The sequence below is a fragment of the Homo sapiens genome, chromosome 9 (genome assembly GCF_000001405.40).
Source record: "Homo sapiens chromosome 9, GRCh38.p14 Primary Assembly".
Classification (NCBI taxonomy): domain Eukaryota; kingdom Metazoa; phylum Chordata; class Mammalia; order Primates; family Hominidae; genus Homo; species Homo sapiens.
In genome coordinates, this window is record NC_000009.12 from 95708839 (window position 1) to 95728947 (window position 20109).

The 20109-nt window shown below is 44.7% G+C and overlaps 2 annotated features.

The window, feature by feature from the left end:
• Nucleotides 1752-1935: a silencer, noted in NCBI's record as "fragment chr9:98472872-98473055 (GRCh37/hg19 assembly coordinates)". NCBI's record gives its function as "represses an EF-1alpha promoter that drives an FKBP-Casp9 reporter gene in an ReSE screen in K562 erythroleukemia cells {active_cell/tissue: K562}" and the evidence as "EXISTENCE:reporter gene assay evidence [ECO:0000049][PMID:32094911]".
• Nucleotides 15647-15746: an enhancer, noted in NCBI's record as "active region_28641". NCBI's record gives its function as "activates an Ori minimal core promoter by ATAC-STARR-seq in GM12878 lymphoblastoid cells {active_cell/tissue: GM12878}" and the evidence as "EXISTENCE:reporter gene assay evidence [ECO:0000049][PMID:35858748]".

The following is a 20109-nucleotide window of genomic DNA, read 5'->3' on the forward strand; positions in this document are numbered from 1 at the left end:
TTTGAGCCTCCATTTGCACCAATTCCTTAAATGCGAGGTCCCCATTCAGGAGAATGCATCACTGAACCGCTTCAAGTTCCTGCTTGTTCCCGGAAACCAGGTGTCTCAGGCAAGAAATGGCTTCCCTTTATTGAATATCTCCTATGGGAGACCACATTTATCTCATTTAAATAACCCAACAACTTTGCAAGCTGGATAGGATCGTTCCCATTTTACAAGAGAGGAAAAGGGCTCCAATAGGCAGGAGCTAGCTGCTAGGGAGGAAGGGCAGGAACTAGGATTCTAACCCAAACCTGCCTGATTCCATAGTCTCTGCCCTCAGCCACTAAGAAGACCCACTCACCTTTATCACATTCATTTCGTATCTCTTGCTCCTGAGCTTGACACATGGCAAACTCAATAAATGTTTATTATTTAAGAGGCAGTTAAAAATTGGAAATGAGTAAGAAAGTTAAGTGGGATAGACTCATGAGCCCAGATTTGACATATAAACCATCTTCAACAGAAAAATAACAGATGCTGGTGAATTTCCAGTGAATTTGTAAGTGCAGCGAAGCCTTCCAGATTAAGCTCTCTTAGTCTCCTGCTTGGGTTTAGATATTTTAAAATGCAATGTAAAGGGCTTAGTTCTACAGTCTTCTGAAAACTCAGAGTCAGATATCCAAGAGGCATCCTTCCACAGTGGGCATATATCAATACAGATAAGATGCCACCCTCATCATGTCACCTGCTGTTATTGTCTATAAAGAACTTGTCACTACCTGAAATTATCTTATTTGTTTATTCATTTCTTGTGTCACTCCCAAATGTCATCTGTCACTCTCTACCTAGTACCTAGCATAGTGCCAGGCACATTATCCTTCTATGGATATTGATTGATATTGAACCCTGGGCCAAGTAGAAGACATGGTGTGTCCATGCTAGAGAAGGCACAATCTGACACAGAACAATCTGCTACATTTGGGCCAGGAACTCTAGCTTTTTCCTTGTCTCCTGGGAATGTCATTGTCATTCAAAGTGATCAAACCTGTATCAGTTTGGAAAGAATCGTAGCATCTTTTCTCTCCTTGGCCATTTTTATTGCCAAGGCAGATTACAGAAAGCAGAGCCCAGCAAGTCCCTCCCATCCTATCTTCCACTCTGCGTCTTCGGTTCCTTAGCCATGCCTAATAAGTGAAAGAAGTCATGTTATAGAATGGAAAATCAACCCCTGTCCACTCTTACTTTTTTATCTCAACACATTTATTATGCACCAACTTTGTGCCCAGCACTGTTCGGGGTGCTAGGAATACAGCACTCATCAATATCAATTTCCTGCTCTCAAAGTCTAACGTTCTCGTGACAGGAGACAGAAAATAAATAAAAAATAAAGTAAAATAGAACAGGAAGCAATGAGACGAAAACATAAGCAGAGGAAGGGACTGAGAGGGTTACCGGGAGGGGTGAAGGGCCATATTTTATCTGAGGGGTCAGGAAAACACCTTGTGCAGCTTTTGCTCTGGGTTAGCCCATGTGTAGCCCCAAGTCCAGGGTCCCACTGGGAACCTGAGCCGTGTTCAGGCCTAGGATCCAGACCAGTGTGGGGGGCTGGAGGGACTTGAATAAATGGCAGAAAGAATTGAGGTTCATGAGCAATGGGCAAGTGAAACACGCTGCATGGTGTTGGTTGCCTGGGCTGTCCTCAGCCCCAGCCCCATAGACCAGAGCTGAGCCCTGGAAGACGAAGTTCCAAAGATCAGTGACACTCAGAGCTCCAGGTGTGGGGCCCAGGCAGCTCTGCTCTGGGTGACCGGGCTGCAGCGGTGGGGTGGGGAGTGAAGACAGCTCTCTCCCTGGGGTCCCCGTTGGAGGCCACGCATGGCTGGGGTGCCAGAGGTCCAGATGTGGTCATGCAGGAATGCCAGCCTCCCTGGAGCTTGGGTGGTCTCTGCTGCAGGCATCAGCAGTCAGAAGCAGCATCAGAGAGGGAAAACAGCCGATGCCAGCCGGCACCTGTGGAGCACATGTGAGTTACCTTCCAGGGCGTCCCTGCACTAACTGGGGTCTGAGGTTCTTCTAGTGGTGGTAGAGCCAGAGAAATATGACGATGTGACATCTACCCCCCACTAGAATGTCCTCAGGAGGCACAGGTTCCTCCTGCAGGCAATCCAAGCTGAGGACCAGACCCTGGGGAGAACACTGTGGTTCAACATTCAGTTCCGAGGACTTGTGGTTTTTCTGGGGCCTGGTGTGATGTTAGATTGAGAACAAGCTTTGCTCCTTGACAAAGGACTCCCCTCCAGCAGACAGCAGCCCTGACCGAAACAGCCTGCTGTGCCAACAATGCCATCGTTGCGAGAAGCATTAGGACCTGGGAACTTGCACTTAATAGGTAATAAAATGATTATGAGAAATGCAGTAAAAATCATGTCAATGTGTGGAGGAAGAAGCTAGTATCACTCGACAAATATGCTTCCTTTACACTTGCAGAATCTTCTGGCCCGGCATCTGGGAAACAATCTTTATGCTAAACTGCAGCCCGTGTGGCCCTACTTACCTGGGACCTTCACCCCAGGTAACCTGCCAGTCTCCAGGTTCGCAAGGCGTTGTTGGAGAGGGAGAGCCTGTGCTTGATGGCACAGAGTCTGTGGCCTCTGGCTGACTCCCTAGGCCAGCTCCCCTCTTGTTCCATCAGCCTCAACCCTGTCTCATGTGTGTCAGCTCAGGCCTTGAACAAGCAGTTCAAAACTAACAGGGGGCTGGCATGGCAGTCTATGAAATGCAAGACTAAAATGTGGCTACACACTGTTTCCAGCCACTGCCTGCCACTCATGTTTCCCCTGAAAGCCATGGGGACCTCAAACTCAGAAGCCTGAAGGAGCGAGGCAGGTAGACGGGGGCTCAGGAACCACTCAGTCCATGCGAGAAAGTGGCCTGGTATTTCCACGGCCTCCAGTCTCTTCAACAGAAGTCAGAAAACCTTTTTTTTTTTTTTTTTTTTTTTTTTGAGACAGAGTCTCGCTCTGTCACCCAGGCTAGAGTGCAGTGGTGCAATCTCAGCTCACCACAACCTCCACCCACCAGGCTCGAGCGATCCTCTCACCTCACCCTCCCGACTAGCTGGGACCACAGGTGCGCACCACCATGCTTGTTTTTTTTTTTTTTTTTTTGTATTTTTAATAGAGATGGGGTCTCGCCATGTTGCCCAGGCTGACCTCCAACTCCTGAGCTCAGGCAATCTGCCCGCCTCGGCCTCTCAAAGTACTGGGATTACAGGCGTGAGCCACTACACCCGGCCATAAAGCCATTTTTTTGAACACAACTCTCCCAGGTTTTAAAAGTCGGGAATTTTTTTTAAGCAGAGTATAGGCCAAGCAAGATAAATATCTGTATAAGCTGTATTTTTTCTGTAAGCCGGCAGTTCGAGCCTCTGGATGAAAAGATAACTGGGACATCTTTATAGAGCACTGTGTATGCGACAGAACTTTCTGTATTCTTTCCTTGGTGCCCCAAGCGCTTCCACTGATAATTCTTCCAAGGTAAAGTGGTAGCTCATTTGACCACCTTCCAAAGTGAAGTAATAGCCCTGGACCACCCATGGGGTGTGGTCTCCACCCGTGCCCTGAATCAGCAGCATTCAGGTCAAACTGCAGACAATTGGACGTAACTGTTGCGATTATTCTACATCCTTCAGAACTCAGGGAGTTTTGTGCTGGCCATGAAAAGGAAGCCTGTGGTGAGAAATGGCTCCAGGGAGAACAAAGAAGGGGCAACAGGACTCCAGCAACTTGCAGTTACTGGTAATGTCCACCCTTCACCTAAGAAGCAACCTGGGGTTGGGAGGAGCACTGGACAGCTTGAGGGACCTGACTTTGGGCCACTGGCTCCGGGATCTGAGCCCCCAGACATCCCAGCTAAGATTCATTGTGAGCAGGAAAAGTAGTCCCCGCCAAGCCCCGCCCTACTCGCAAATACATAAACAGTGTAAGTGACTCCTGTTGTTTTAAACCACTGCGTTTTAAGGGAGGTTGGTTACGCAGCAAGAGATGGCCACCATCCCTATGGATACCATGGTAACTAGGGATCGTCAAGTGTGCAGGCGCCTGTGGGGATCCAGGAGATCTTGGTGCCCAGCATGCTGAGCTCCTGAGAGGGGGGGCAGCAGCACCTCTCTCCCCATCTCCTCCTCCCTATAGACTCACCCCCATTCACCTAGTGGCCTTGTGTGGCTGTGACTCTGGCCTTTGGCTCCTCTCCTGGGTCGACTTGCCTCCTGCTTTCTTTTCTAACTGCATGGTATTCTCCATGTCCACAACTCAGATTCCTTCAAAACAGAGGCTCTGATTGGCTCTGTTCATCGTTTTGTGCAGGCATCGATCACTGGCTGGCCTATACATTGGTGGTTGTCAAATCAGATGCCAGCTGGGCACGGTGACTCATGCTTGTAATCACAGCTACTTGGGAGACTGAGTGGGGAGGATCGCCTGAACCCAGGAGTTGGAGGCTACAGTGAGCTATGATTGCACCACTGCACTCCAGCCTAGGCAACAGAGAGAGACTGAAATCAGACGCCACCCCTGGTCTAATCAGCTGTGGCAGGTGCAATGCACAATGGCAGAGGGGCGTCACTTCAGGAGGCACCACGGGAGGGACGTTCCTCTTGGGGAGTGCTTTGTAATTGATCGACATGACCAACATGTCTGAAACAGAAATAAAGGAAAGAACACAGGGTAGGAGGATTCTGTGCAGTGGACACGATCTTCAAACGGGGGTGTGAACATTTCCTGCTAGCTCTGAGATTTGTAATCCAGACCCCGATGGTTTTCAGAAAATAAATTGGCAGCTGTACTCTTCTAAAATTGGTCAGGAGGTATTAGGTTGGTTTTTCTTTCTTTACTTTTAAAATTGGCCTTTTCCCACTTTATAAAAGCAAGGCATATCTTTATCCTTCCTGAATATTCTTACGTGAATTGCTTCAAGGTAGAAACACCTTCAGAGTGCCCAACAAGGACGTAATACAAATATTGGTGTCCCCCAGTGTTGGTGTTTCCTTCTAGGGAGCATACAACTTCCTGTCCATTACAGATGCATTTCCCCCCAAAATTACTTTTTCTTTTTAATAATGATTGACATTAACTTGAAATGGCAACTCAACTTGGAACACATTTTTAATTGCTTGAAAGCTTATGGCACTAAGGATTGTTTTTAAAGTTAATTTAAATATATTTATGTATTTCTGCTGTAGCGGAACAGGATGACCATTTCATTTTGAAAAGCTGTTGTCGGGTGGGTCTCTGGAAAGGGGATCATGGGCTGGAGTTTCGTGTGTAGAATGTCTATGGGGGGTGCCCTTGGGGGGAACCCCTGAGAAAGGAAGGGGAAGGAAGCAGGAGTTGGGGAGAGGAAGAAGTTAGCTGCGATGCAGGTCCCCAGCAGACTTGGCAGCCCCAGGGAAGCTCTGCCACTGAAAGGGTCATCAGAATTGCCCCACCCTTGCCTCGAGCCTTGTACTCCCACCACAGCCAGTCATTGAGGGGGGCTGCCTGGGGAAGGGCATGAACCAGGGCCAGGCAGCTCTGCGCCTGAGGCCATCCTAACCCAGCTGCAAGCTGGTAGTGCTCCCAGCAGTGGAGGGGGTTGGGACAAGTCTTTCCTTGATGGGGGATCTGGGTGGAGCATCGTCTGGTGACCACCACAAATTTCAGTGTCTATACTATGCCAAAAATGATATCCATTCACAATGGTTTAAATTTATGATGAAAATCTCCAGGTGTAAACTTTAAAACACAAAGTTCTACAATGTGTAAAAGCAGTTGTTGTTTTTTTTTGGTTTTTTTTTTGAGACAGTCTCGCTCTGTCACTCAGGTTGAAGTGCAGTGGCACAATCTCGGCTCACTGCAAGCTCTGCCTCTCGGGTTCACGCCATTCTCCTGCCTCAGCCTCCCGAGTAGCTGGGACTACAGGCGCCCGCCACCATGCCCAGCTATTTTTTGTGTGTTTTTAGTAGAGATGGGGTTTCTCCGTGTTAGCCAGGATGGTCTGATCTCCTGACCTCGTGATCCACCCACCTTGGCCTCCCAAAATGCTGGGATTACAGGCGTGAGCCACTGCACCCGGCCAAAAGCAGTTTTTGAAGGGTGTGAGCACAAGTCTCAAGATCGTGGTAGCCAGACTGTCCCGGCCCTGTTGGGAGGATTCCTTAGAAGTATTTCTTTTTTGTTTTTTTTTTTGAGATTGAAGTCTCACTCTGTTGCCCAGAGTGCAGTGGCGTGATCTCACTGCAACCTCTGCCTCCCAGGTTCAAGTGATTCTCCTGCCTCAACTTCCCAAGTAGCTAGGATTACAGGCATGTGCCACCACACCCAGCTAATTTTTGCGTTTTTAGTAGAGACAGGGTTTTGTCATGTTGGCCAGGCTGGTCTCGAACTCCTGACCTCAGGTGATCCACCCATCTTGGCCTCCCAAAGTGCTGGGATTACAGGTGTGAGCCACTATGCCTGGCCTCCTTGGGAGCTTTTAAACATGTATGGCAGTGGCATGTTAAGTACTCACTAAGCTCTACTTTCTTTTCCTCCTGGAAACCCAGCTGGACTGAATTTCCCAGCTTCTGCCGCAGGTCTGTGAGGCCATGTGACCTGAGAAGCAGTGAAGGTGGCAGAAGTGGGATCCACCACATCCAAGCTCAGGCCATGAAACTGCCTGTGGCATCCTCCACACTCTTGCTCTTCTCTCTCCTGCTGGTCAGACATGGATGATCCAGTGGAGGCCTCCAAGGCCCTAGGGGATGGCAGAACCGCTCGATAGCAGATGCTTGGGGCCCTGGAGGACTGCATGGATCAAAGCCCCCTCCAACCAACCTTGATTGTGAAATGATGATGAAATAAACCTTCATTATGGTGTGTCACCGAGAGTTTGAGATTGTTTGTTATAGCACTTCATCTACTCTGATTAACACAAAATCTGTTGAAGAGAAAAAAACACAGTAAACTCAGATGTTTAGTGATGTTTTCGATAGCATTCATGGGGAAGGAAAAATGCAACTTGATTTCCAGACAGCTTAGAAAAATTCAAAGGGAGAAAGATTTCCTCTGGGTCATTTTCACAAAGAAGGAACTCGGCCTGAGCTGAGCCAGAGGGAGTGAGTCACAGTGAAGACCACTGGCTTATTAATGGTACCAGGAAGCCTGAATCCAGTGAATGTGTCTGGCACTAGGGATGTGTATCCATTATGACTGAGTTCAGCTCTATTTAAAAGGAAAACTAATGACTGAGGCTTAAACAACATGAGTGTTTATTTTTCTCTCAAGCTTCAAGTTACATAGTCCAAGGATTTATCAGCTCCATGGTGACATCAGGCTTTTTCTAGTTTTTCAATCCAGAGCCCTTTTTAGAGTGTGGCCTTCATTTTGTGTTCACAGCTACTAGAGTCCCAGCTGTCATGTTGACATTTTGGGGAGAGTACAGGAGGAGAAGTGGAGTGCATAGGTATGCACACTGGCTCTGGGGTGCCTGGGATGCTCTGGCGGCACTCCCTTGGCCATCTTCACTCCAGCCAGCCATGTCCATAGATCCACACACGTGGTAAGCATCACACACCAGCCACACCATGATGCCTCTTTGCTTTGCTGGAGCCACAGAAGACCACCCAACCACATGAAAGAACAATCAGTTAGTATGGGGGAGCTAAGAACCCAAGGGAGATCCCAAGCAATGGGGAACTAGGCAGCCCAGCCTCGTAGTCCTCCACTGAGACGATCGTGAGGCATGGTCCACTGTGTGCAGGGTCCCACGGCAGACTGAGGTACTCACTGGCAACTGGCCTATTAATGCCTCCTTCACTGCTTTCCTCTCTTCCTTTTTTCCCTCTCCCCCATTTCTGTTACCTGGGATGAACTCCAAGATAAACCACCTGCACCCAAGTTCGTCTCAAGCTCCTTCTTGAGGGAGCTCAAACTAAGATACCAGCTGAGTCTGCCCCTTTAAAGGGCTTTCCTGAGAATCCCTCCTAGCAAATTCTAGCTAATCTCAGAGCCAGAATCAGGTCAAGTGGCCACTCCTAACCGTAAGGGAAGCTGGGAAATACAGGCTTTTTAGGTGGGCACTTTGGCACCCCCAACTAAATCAAGGTTTTGTCCTCACAGAAGAAAAGGATGCTTATTTGATGGGCAACTGGCCAGTCCTGAAAATCAACATATGTCAATATTGATCATTTGGTGGTTTTTAAGTATTAAATTAGTGAAAAGAACAATTTGGGAAATGAAATACATAAAAGTATCAGCAGGTAGAAATAGTATAAAAAATATAAAAATGAAGATTTTAGAACTCAACCTTTGGTCAGTAGGGATCCATTTAAACTGGAAGTATTTTATAGACTGAGAAATAATGATATCCTGTCAACCTACTCTCCACTAATGACCCCTTTGCTTCACCGCTGTGATTATTTCAGCCTTTGAAGTTTGCTTTGATAAAACGTGCTGAAGTAAATGTTTCTCTCTTCCCTGTCTACCGATTACCCCTTCTCTACAGAAAATGTGTGATGGGTTACAACAAAATACAGTCAACAAAACAATAACAAAATGAACCCCATATCATGAAGAACAAGAAGACAAACAGATCCCGGGGTTGGGGTGAACACTTGTTACAGTCATGGTTCAAACTTGGATCTGTGCTTCCTGGTACCCAAGGACAGGTAGAAGAGACCATGCTTTATGTTATTTGTGTTATCAGAAAGAAGATGGAGTGCAAATTTCCCTAGAGTAGGGGTGGCTTCCCTGGGCCACACTGGAAGAAGAAAAATTGTCTTGGGCTACACATAAAATACACCAACACTAACGATAGCTGATGAGCAAAAAAAAAAAGCATAATATTTTAAAGTTTATGAATTTGTGTTGGGCTGCACTCAAAGATATCCTGGGCCACATGTGGCCGGTAGGCCATGGAATGGACAAATTTGCCCTAGAGCAAGCAAACCTTCCCCAGCACCAAATTCTGAAAGAAATCTCTTAGGGCTTACCTGTGAGAGCAGGGAGCAGGGAGCAATGCAGGGAAAGGGTTCTCAACAGCATCTTTACAGCCAAGCTCAATAGTGGATTTCATGGGCCTGGGCCCTGCAGTATAAGAGTTTCCATGGAAGTTTATGGTTTAGCACTACTATTGAAGTAAGCTACAGTGATTCTGCAAAGGGCAAAAATGTGTGATCTCTACTGATCCAGCAGGTTTCAAGGCTAGATCTCAGAGTTTCTGGAAGAGTGAAGAGAATGCCTGACCACACATAAGATGGAGGGGAGATGGCGTCTGGAGTTGGTTCCTGCCAGTGGGTTCATGTTCTCGCTGACTTCAAGAATGAAGCTGCGGACCTTCTCGGTGAGTGTTATAGCTCTTAAAGATGGCATGGCATCGACCCAAAGAGTGAACAGTAGCAAGATTTATTGTGAAGAGCGAAAGGACAAAGCTTCCACAGTGTGGAAGTGGACCCAAGCAGGTTGCCACTGCTTTATGGGGTGGCCAGCTTTCATTCCCTTATTTGTCCCCTTCTGTGTTCCTTTTCTGTCCTATCAGAATGCCCTTTTTTCAACCTTCCCTGTGATTGGCTACTTTTAGGATCTTGCTGATTGGTGCATTTTACAATCCTCTTGCTAGCTACAGAATGCTGATTGGTGCATTTTTATAGATCACTGATTGGTGCATTTTACAATTCTCTTGTAAGACAGAAAAGTTCTCTAAGTCCCCAGTTGACCCAGGAAGTCTAGCTGGCTTCACCTCTCAAGATGAGTAAAATTCAGCCCAGGGTGGTGCTCTGATTAAGCCTAGGAGTTCCAACAATCTGTTTGCCTGTTGAGACAGCCACTCATTACTTAGCTATCTCAACAGCTACTCCCAACCCCATTTCCCTTGTCTATCTTTTAAAAATAGAAGCCTGATGGTCCATGTCCTAGGTTTCCTTGCAACACGGAGTGGCCAGATGACACAGATGTAGTCAGAAAGACTAAGGGGAAATAGGTTTGGGAGCTCCTAGGAAAGCTCTTGCTCTACTGACAAAGTGAATGATGTGAGAAGAAAGATGTTGGCATGGCCTCTTCTTCTTTCTTCCTGTCTTGAACATGAATGTGATGTCTGGTGCAATGGTGGCTATCATGAGGTAGGTGAAAGCCTGGGGGCCTGAAAGCTTGGGGAGATGAATAACTCCTTCCTCCTCGGGCCCAGTCCCAAGGCACAAGACCACTTGTGCCAGCAGCATGCTTCAGCAAGATGGTAGAAGCAGGAAGAGAGCTGGCCAGAAGACACATACCCCCTGGAAATGGAGAGAGTCCTTCGGTGTACCACGTAGCAGTTACGTCAGACTGGGACACTTACTGTTTACAGGAGACTACAAAACCCTAGCCCCATCCTCACTTGAGGCTGATGGCATTTTGGGCCTCAGCCCGTCTGCACCCAGGCGCTCATTAAAACAGCGTGTTGCTCCACTCCACCTTGTGTTGTTTGTTGGCGCGTTCTTGGGGTTCGAACCAATACAAGAGCCTTGCAGTAGGTAATAGAAATGCAACAGAAAAGCCAACTAGCTGAGGTGGGTCAAGAGAAAAAACAGTGAGCGTGGGTCCTTGCTGACATGGAGCTGGGAGTGCACTCTGGAGAGAGCTCTCCTGCAGATTCTTATCAAGTAAGCAATAAAATAACCGTATGGTCTACGCTCCTGGAGCTGAGACTTTGTACTCCTTGCTGTTGAAAACAGTTTACCTTTTACCAGTGTAAGGAGAGAATTTGTGAACTTTAAACAAGTGGAGAAGTGGTGGGTGAGATTAACACTCTGGTGAAAACGAGGAGTCCAGTCAAGAATACGAGCTCCGACGTGAGCAGGCGCAGAGTCCAAGTGGAGTCAGAATTTTCAGGAAACTACCACATGGGAGTAACTGCTTAACTGAGTCCTCAGTGGAGAATGCCATAAACCCTGGCTAAGGTGATTTTGATCACTAAAACTTTTTAAGCAGAAATAATTAATTACCCATAGAGCTTCAGTATCTCTATCTTGGATCAACTGATTTGAAGAAAAACATAGCGAACCTCCTGGGGTAATTGAGCAGGAGAATGTGTTCCTGGGTTATTAAATTAATGCATCTGCAGCTTGAGGTTAGTCGATATTAGTAGAATAAATTCTGGGAACTGTTAAAAATAATGATGTTAGCTTTCAAAATGTTAATACAATTCTAAAGTCACTGTTTCTGAAAGTAGAAATTGTTACTGGTTCTTAACAATAAAAGCATTTGTCTCATTGATGAAGTAACATACATTTGATTTATTTCAATGCAGTTTCAAATAAGAGATAATTCAAAGGAAAAGGAGAATGCAGAACACTGTGAACCTGTAAAAAAAAAAAAGAAAGAAAAAAAGTCCTTTGATGTACGAAGACCCTGTGAGTGTTTTCATAACAATCTTTTTTAATTAACTTATTTATTTTTATGTTTTATTTTTTTGAGACGGAGTCTGGCTCTGTCGCCAGGCTGGAGTGCAGTGGCACGATCTCGGCTTACAGCAAGCTCCACCTCCCGGGTTCACACCATTCTCCTGCCTCAGCCTCCCGAGTAGCTAGGACTACAGGTGCCCGCCACCACGCCTGGCTAATTTTTTGTATTTTTAGTAGAGACGGAGTTTCACCGTGTTAGCCAGGATGGTCTCCATCTCCTGACCTCGTGATTTGCCCGCCTTAGCCTCCCAAATTGCTGGGATTACAGGCATGAGCCACTGCGCCCGGCCACCAATCTGGATTTTTATGATGATTTTGTGTGAGCACCAATGACCAGAAGTTCATGTTTTCCTCGTGTAACTTGGCCACACAATTGTTATTATTGCTGAAAGGGGTGTGGAAAGCATTGCTATCTTTGCCTCCCACTTTTATATGACCTTGCAGACAAGGTTAGCACGCCATAGAATGTCTTTCAACACAAAGGACAGCTATATTAGTGTGTGTGTATACAGGAATGCTGTTGTACTTGTGACATTTGTTTTAATAACATGATATTGGTCATTTGTAAAAATTACAATAACAATGAAATGAGAGGCAAAGGTACAGTAACATTCCCTATTTAAAATTAAGCCATAAATATGCAGGCCGAGTAGACAAAGTGCTTTCTCCAAATGTTTCCAATTATAAGAGGAAAATGAAATTGTTTTTACTATTCTTGGGTCTTTTTCGTTTCAAGTACATTGTTTTTTGAAAATGTGGGAGACAGAGATGCAAATAACTGTTTTCTTTACAATTATGCTATGAAATTCTGAGTTTCTCTTTGTTTTCGTTGGGTGTAATTTATCATTTCTTAAGCTGTGTCAGAAATCATTGCTGCAAAACACATGGTAGAAAGTCTCCTATGGTAAATGAAAGAGTAATTCAACTTGTCGTTGTTTAGGTCATGGCGTGTTGTAGGAGACCACTTTTTCTGGATCACCAGCAACATAAACAAAGGGTTTATCACTAAATAAATAAATGTAATCTACAGTTTTCCATTTAACTGTATCATAAAACATTTGGAGGACATAGCCACATGCTCATTCAATTTAGTCGCAATAACCTTATTGGCATGACAAGGCTGGCAAGGATGCCAAAGTCAATAGAGTAGGCCAGGATGCACTAGGCAGGTTTCACGAGGGTGGTGAGATTTTATGTCACAAACCTCAATGTGCATCCAGATGCAGTCTTATTTCTGGACCTCCCATTGAAGGAGTCCCCTGTTTCCAAATTAGATAAGACTTTGGGAGTGCTGCAAAGACTGAAAGGTTTGGGGGAGATTAGGAGAGAAGGAATGAACGGCAGGGACTGCTTAAGCCAATGATACATTGACAGTACATGTGTGAAAATCTGGGGTTGAAAAAATCAAAGGAACATCAGTAAAACTTAATCTAGATCTAACTCCTATGAATACATATTTTTTGCAGTTACTACATAGTAACCTTTTTACATTTGTGAATTTCTGGAAGAGGTCATGCATGATTAAGGCACAAAATTACAAATTTTAAAGTATCCTTGTAAAGAAACTTCAGTCTCCTCCTCACCCTTACCCTTCAGCCACACACCTCGCCTCCCCAAAGCAACTGTTGCTGCCACTTTATTATAGATACTTCCAGAAACATCCTGTGGAATGTTTCAGTTCAGTGTGGAATGTTCAATAGACATCCTTGAACACAAATAATTTTATGCAAGTGCAAGCATAAGTAGAGAATATATTTCTGAAAGTGAAATTATTGGGTCAGAAGGTTTTTAAATTTGTAAATCTTTAAAGATTTGCCAAATTGTTCTCCCAGGTTTACCAGTTCCCCCTAGAAATGTATGGAAATGATTCCTCACAACTCACCAACATAGTAGACTGTCAAACTCAGTCCAAAATTTGAATGGTTTCTTTTATTCAGACGTGAACAGTAAGTCAGAGTCACACTATTTTAACAGCTTCTTTTGCTTTTTGGGACCATAACAGACCAAACAGCCATCTATTCATCACTGTAACAAACAGGCATTGAGTTCTTATTAATTCATTCAAGAACACCTTCTATGTGCCAGGCATCCTGCCAGGTCTGGGAATACAGTAGTGATACAATGATCCCGGATTTTATTGACAATGGGGGAGACAGACAAATGATCACATACAAGAGCTCAGAAGGAAAAGCAGCGAGTCTGTGCGGTGTAAAACAGGAAGGCCTGCTCTGGGCTGGAGTGGCCTCAAAAGCTTCCTTGAGAAATGCTGTCTGAGCTGAAGGATGAGCAGGAATCATGGAGGGGTGTGTGTTTGTTTCTGTGTTTGTGTGTGCCTATGCTTGTGCATGTGTACACACATGCTGAACTTTCCAGACAATAGAGAAAGAGCAGGTCACCTTCAGGGATGTGGAAGAAGGGAGGGGCAGAGACTGCAAGAAAACTGGGATGTGAGGCACTGTGGAAGATCCCTCCACCTCAAGGGACCTCCGTAGAAAGACTGGACAATGCCCGATCATAAGTAAGTCTGGTAAAGAACTGGATAATAAGATCCATTAGACAGGCAAAGAGAGAAATTAGGAATGAATCTTCATGGTTTTAGTTCCCTTGTGCAATTGTGTGCTTGATTTGTTTATTTTCTTTATCTGTTTTGATAATATAAATCCTGTGCTACTTCTTAACCATTGGTTCCACTTTAATAAGTCAACAGTGGTTGCCCGGTCCCCTCTTCTTACCATTGTATCCTAAAGGAAGAACTGAGAGATTTGGTGCTCCAAATCCCAGGAGTTTCTGCATGACCTCATCAGTGTCAGGAGAGCCAAGCCCAGATGGATGGTCTAGCCTGTACAGGTGGGCCTCCCACCTCTCCAGGTGTGTGTTATAGTGCTTAGAATATCGAGGCATACTAGGTGCTAAGACATCCAAATGTTTCCGAGTGTATATGAAGAGAAGTTAAGACTAGGGGAGCTGTACTTTGAAACTGGGTTTATAGCTGAAACCTCAAGTTCAGTTGTCTTAACATCACATAAATAACAACAAACAAATGTGAATGAAACGAGCTTTTCAAAAAGTTAAAGGCCAGGCACGGTGGCTCACGCCTGTAATCTCAATACTTTGGGAGGCCGAGGCGGGTGGATCACCTGAGGTTAGGAGTTTGAGACCAGCCTGGTCAATATGGTGAAACTCTGTCTCTACTAAAAATACAAAAATTAGCTGGGTGTGGCAGCAGGCACCTGTAATCCCAGCTACTCGGCAGGCTGAGGCAGGAGAATCGCTTGAACCTGGGAGGTGGAGGTTGCAGTGAGCCGAGATCACGCCACTGCACTCCAGCCTGGATGACAGAGCGAGACTCCATCTCAAAAAAAAAGTTAAAAACATGACTCTCAAAGATATAGAAATCATATCCATGTCAAAATTGTATGTGACTCATTAATTGATGAGGGAACCAGTAAAATGTTAAGACTGGTTCAAAAGAGAATTTGAAGAACAGATGTAAACACTGGAGACTACTAGAGGCGGGAGAGAGGGAGTGGGGCAAGGACTGAAAAACTGCCTATGGGGTACTATGCTCACTACCTGGGTGATGGGACCATTCACACCCCAAACCTCAGTGTCATGCAATATACCCATGTAACAAACCTGCATGTGTACCCCTGAATCTAAAATAAAAGTTGAAATTATTGAAAGAAACAGATTTATATGGTCAGTCAAAAGAATGCTGAAATAAACTTGCCAACAAATGTAAACTGATTAACATTCTAGACAGTAATAAACTGTAATGTTTGGGGGTTAGCTTTTCTATTAGATGAAAATAAATTTAATCTCTACCAGGTCAAATCCGTTTGCATTGTAATGAGCTGGAATCATTTCCATGATTCTCTGACAAGAATTACTTTATGTTGCTATTGGTTTTTTACCAGTTAACTTCTACCCCTACAGCACTGCCAATAGAAAGTCAAAAGTACACGCCCAGAAACATTGCACTAATAAAACATCCCATATCCCCCCTCCTTTAAAACACATTGTATACAGTGCATTAACTCTAAAAAGATCAGAGCACTTATTTATTGCCAAGGATTTTATGACCATATGATCATCCCAAGGATGTTTAGAAACTAGCATTCCGCCACCGTACTGAGATTGAAAAGAAGCGTTCACATATGACTATGAGCTAGAAATTAGCACCCAAACCAGGCTAACCTACAACCTATAATTAATTGTTCTCATGGCTCCAACAAGAAAGATCACTGCTCTTTGAACTACTGCTCTTTTATCTTTATTTCCACTACAAACCCAGACTTTAAGTTTCCAGCCACATAAAGCAAAGCCTTCTTCATACTGCCTTAAATTCTGTAGTAGTATAAATATAGCATTCAGTGACCTGCTTTCTTTATGACTAGCAACCTTTGTCAAACACTGGTGAGAGAGTGAGAAATAGAGTAAGTCTTGGGCTTGTGGCAGGAAGCGGTGTCTAAAGATGCCACTTCCTGGACAGGAGGATCAAAGCAAAAGTAAAGGGAAATAAAGATAAAAGAGCAGTAGTTCAAAGAGCAGTGAACGCTTCTTTCACTCTGGGCACCATCTGCCCAAAGGAAAGCCGAGTGAGGTACAACCAGAATCCGATATTAGGATGTCTCAACAGGAAACCCCAGACTGTGAGCAGAAGAACATAACAGCCAGAGTTCATAGGTGTATCAGACAGGGCTCAGAGAAGCAGACTCACTATGAATATTTTAGAACTAAACATTTAATATAGATATTAGACCTTGTGGGCAAAGATGGGGAAGGAAGCAAGCGCCTGAAAATGGGCGTTTAATATTTGGAGAAAAGTCATTAGGCAGCCCTGGTGCTGGTGACTGAGTCAGAGTTTGCAGGAAGTCTTGAATCGAAGCACATGGAGCATCTGCACTGAGAAGTTGACAAGGGGTTGATATCAGTCCAAAGGTCATTGGCTCTTTGAAGCTACTGCCTGTGTCAGGCCACAGCAGTGCCTCTGGTGGGGGGCTGGCATTACCATTGGGCAGCAGCGCTGCTGGTTGGAAGGACAGCTGGGTATGGAGTGGGAAGGGGTGAGGACACACTGGAACTCTCTAGCACTTCTGGCCCCACACTCAACAATGACCTTCAGGACATAGTGGCTGTGGTTTCTCTTCTGCCTCCTAAATATCATGCAGAGTCACTTTTGCCAACTCGAACCTAGAACCACATAGGTTGACAATGGAATAATCCAGCCCCCAGTGGGGCAAACCCAAAATCATTTGGTGGAAAAGGCATAAATGCCAGACAACATGGTGTTTTCAATAACCAAACGTTCCCCTGGAAAATGCTTATGGTAGATGGACTCCCTTTGAAGAGCACAGACCCCACCACTAAAGACACACTGCCAAGAGTCGTGAAGAGCCCAGCGGGGATGTATATGGAAGCTGTCTGTAACCTGCCCACTAATTGAAGGAATGGGTGTTATGTGTCCATCAACATGGGGTAGTAATTTGGACCACTTGAGCCAGCGCATTAATGGTCCGATGTGAATGATCACTGTGACCAATTCACCAGTTCTCTGCTTGATAAGGAAAGCATGGAAGACAATCAGGTCACCATTTTGTTGTTTTATTTTCAAGTTCCCACTTCTACATGAGTGCAAAGTTCTCCTTGTACCTTCTCTTCTTTTTTCCTCTAATTTATCCTTCCCCTTCTTTTATTCCTGCTTTTCCTCCTGCACATTGCTACATTTATCCATAGAGCACAAAATGGTGGATGGGTTGACGGATAAGACCAGAGTTGAAAAGAATGGGAATCAATTTTACGGTGCAGCATAACACAGCACGCAGAGAAACGGATGGAGGATCAGGGGGCTTGGGTGCTGCTCTAAGAATGACTGGGGGTGAGATACTGAGATATTTCACAGCCCTGAGGCTCCGTAGATCATATTTCCCCAGGAGTCCAAAAAAAGTGTGTGTGTTTTCTATGAGAGAATAACTCGAGGAATTTACAAGGCACCTGAATAAAAGTCCTGAGATGTCCTGCAGTAAAAAAACAAACTTTCCAACTTTGTTCAATCCAGTGTTTCTCAAACTAGTTTGACTCTGGAACCCTTATTTGTAACTTCTAGTAATATTCTACAGGTGAAACACACTTTGGGTAGTGTTCTAAATGATGTCTAGGGTAGTTCTTTCACCTCTACAATGCCCTGAATTTTTCCACTTTTCTTACAAAACTCAAACCCCAATATAAATTGAAAGTCCAGTTGAACCCTGAGCAGCCTGCAACAAGGAAACATCACTTTTTTTTTCTTTTTTTAGCTAAAGCTTTCTCAATGAGGGCTAGTCCGAGAGGAAGCACATGAGGTATACTTAGTAACATGAGTAATAGCCCATCTTGATATGTCTTCTATCAAGAGATCCCAAGTTACCTGGATCAGTGTTTTTCAGACACAGAGAATAATCTCACTCAGGAACATTGTCTTTGAGTTCCAACAGCAGCAATATGCAGAAAAACACTCCAGCTTGGATTGGACTACATAAGATTTTCTAAACCAGGATGGCCAACTAGGATCCTAATCTTCCAAGTGCTTGGACCTTGGATAGGTCAACCGGCTGAAGGTTGGACAGTTGTTGGTTTAGGTTGGAGACCAAAATTCAGTCATCCTGTAATATAGATCTTGTTCCTTTTGGGTTTACCACTAGGGGTCACTAAAGAGAGATGGGAGACAGTCTCAATCTTGTCTAAATAATTCCAAAATAGCCATGGGCTTTGGACAAAATACAAGGTTAGTGTCTCTCTAACTTTAATGGGCATATGAATAACCTGGTGGTTTTGTGGAGATTCTGATCCAGTAGGTCTTGGGCGAGGCCTCAGAGTCTACATTTCTATCAAGCTCCCACATGATGCTGCTGTTGGTGCAGGAGGTGAGGTGCTAGAGCTTTGGAAGGTCTCAAGATCAGTTCAGCTCCCTTGCAGGAATCCAGCCTGGGCCCCTATATCCTCAGATCCTCCACTTCTCCCCACCCCCCTTCTCTTTCCTCTTCCTGGTCTCATCCTCCTCCTCCTCCTCCTTTTTCTGCCAGCTCTACTCCGAGCTCTCAATCTTCTCAAAGGACACCTTTGCAACCATTTGTGTTTACAGCTTTTCCTCATGAGATCTAGCTTGGTAGCACTGATATTTATTGTTGAAATAAACACTAGAGAAACAGGGGCATTTCTTCTGAAGTGCTTCTCTCTTTTTGCATATATTGCATTTTGTGTAAGTAGATGAAGCTAGTTTTGAGTAATGGCAGTTCTGGCTGAGCTAGGCCAGAGTAGATGGGTGACATTTTGTCTTTGGTGGTGGAGGCTATTTGATTTTATTCTTCAACCCCAACTATAAAGTTATTTTAACCAATGAGAGATCTATTTCTATGCTTTCAGAGTTGAGGAAAAAAGACAATTGCCCACATAGAATCCAGAGACTTTCATTTTCCACACTTTGTTGTAAGTTACATGGAAGTGAAAGTAAGTGATAGAGTAATCCTTTTTGGTGTGAGAGATGTGAGAATGGACCTCTATCTCAATTATACGTATAAAGATTTTTATTGATTTTTTTTCTAATTATAGTTCAGAAAACTTGGAAGAGATAGAACATCATTTTTTAAAATTAGTCCCCAAATATCACTACCCAGAGAAAACTCACAGTTAACAATTTTTCGGTATGATGATGATCTTCCAGTCTTTTTTGTATTTATATGTGCATTTTCCTATAATTATGGAATACTGTTATATAACCTGATACATTCATTTAGCAATATAAACAATATCCCATTTCAGTATTTTTTACAAATAATTGTTAATGCTTTTGTGATAGTCTATCAGAAATACATTCCACAGTATACTTAGTCCCCTATTGTTGGATATTCAGGTTGTTACTAATTTTTCACATTACTAAAAAAAACTTTATGAACATTCTTACACACACATCTTTACCCATACCTTTCATTATTTGGGTTGGAAAATTTCCAAGATGTGGAACTGGTAAGCCGAAAGCTTTTGAAAGGCACTCATGAGGTTTGCCTGGGAAAACTGCACCACTGTGCGTCAGCAGCGGCAGCCTGCGACAGGACTCTATTAAGATAGGCACAGCACAGGTGCTTAAAACTGTGATTGGCGGTCAGATTGCCTGAGTTTGAGTCAACCCTGGAATATCGTTTAATCTCTCTGTCTCTGAAGAATTTCCCTATGATTGTGGAAAATGCTAGGTCCTACAACCATAAAGTTGTTTTATGCATCAAGTGACAGAATATATGTCAAGCCTGACACTGTAAACCTTGAGCAAACGTTAGCTGTTATTATTATTTTCCTGCATGCTCAGCCATCGTCCCAGGTCCTTACATGCCAATGATCCATAAATCCGCTTCTATATTTTTTGCCAGGGCCATCTGCTTAAGTCAAGGGGACTGGTAATGGACAGGATAACCTTCCCAAGAGTGGGCGTTAGAAGAGGGGGTACATGAAGGTGGCCTTCGGTCACCTAGGAAGGCTCCTTGCTGACCGTTTCCTGGACGTGGAGGTACAGAACGACCTGGGCCGAGTGAAAGCGACCAGCGAAGGTCACGCCGGCCCAGCAGCCTGGAGAATGAGACCCACCACCCACAAACCCACTGGTGGAGAGCGGGCGAGGTCCCCGTGTGCGGTGAAGGAGCAGG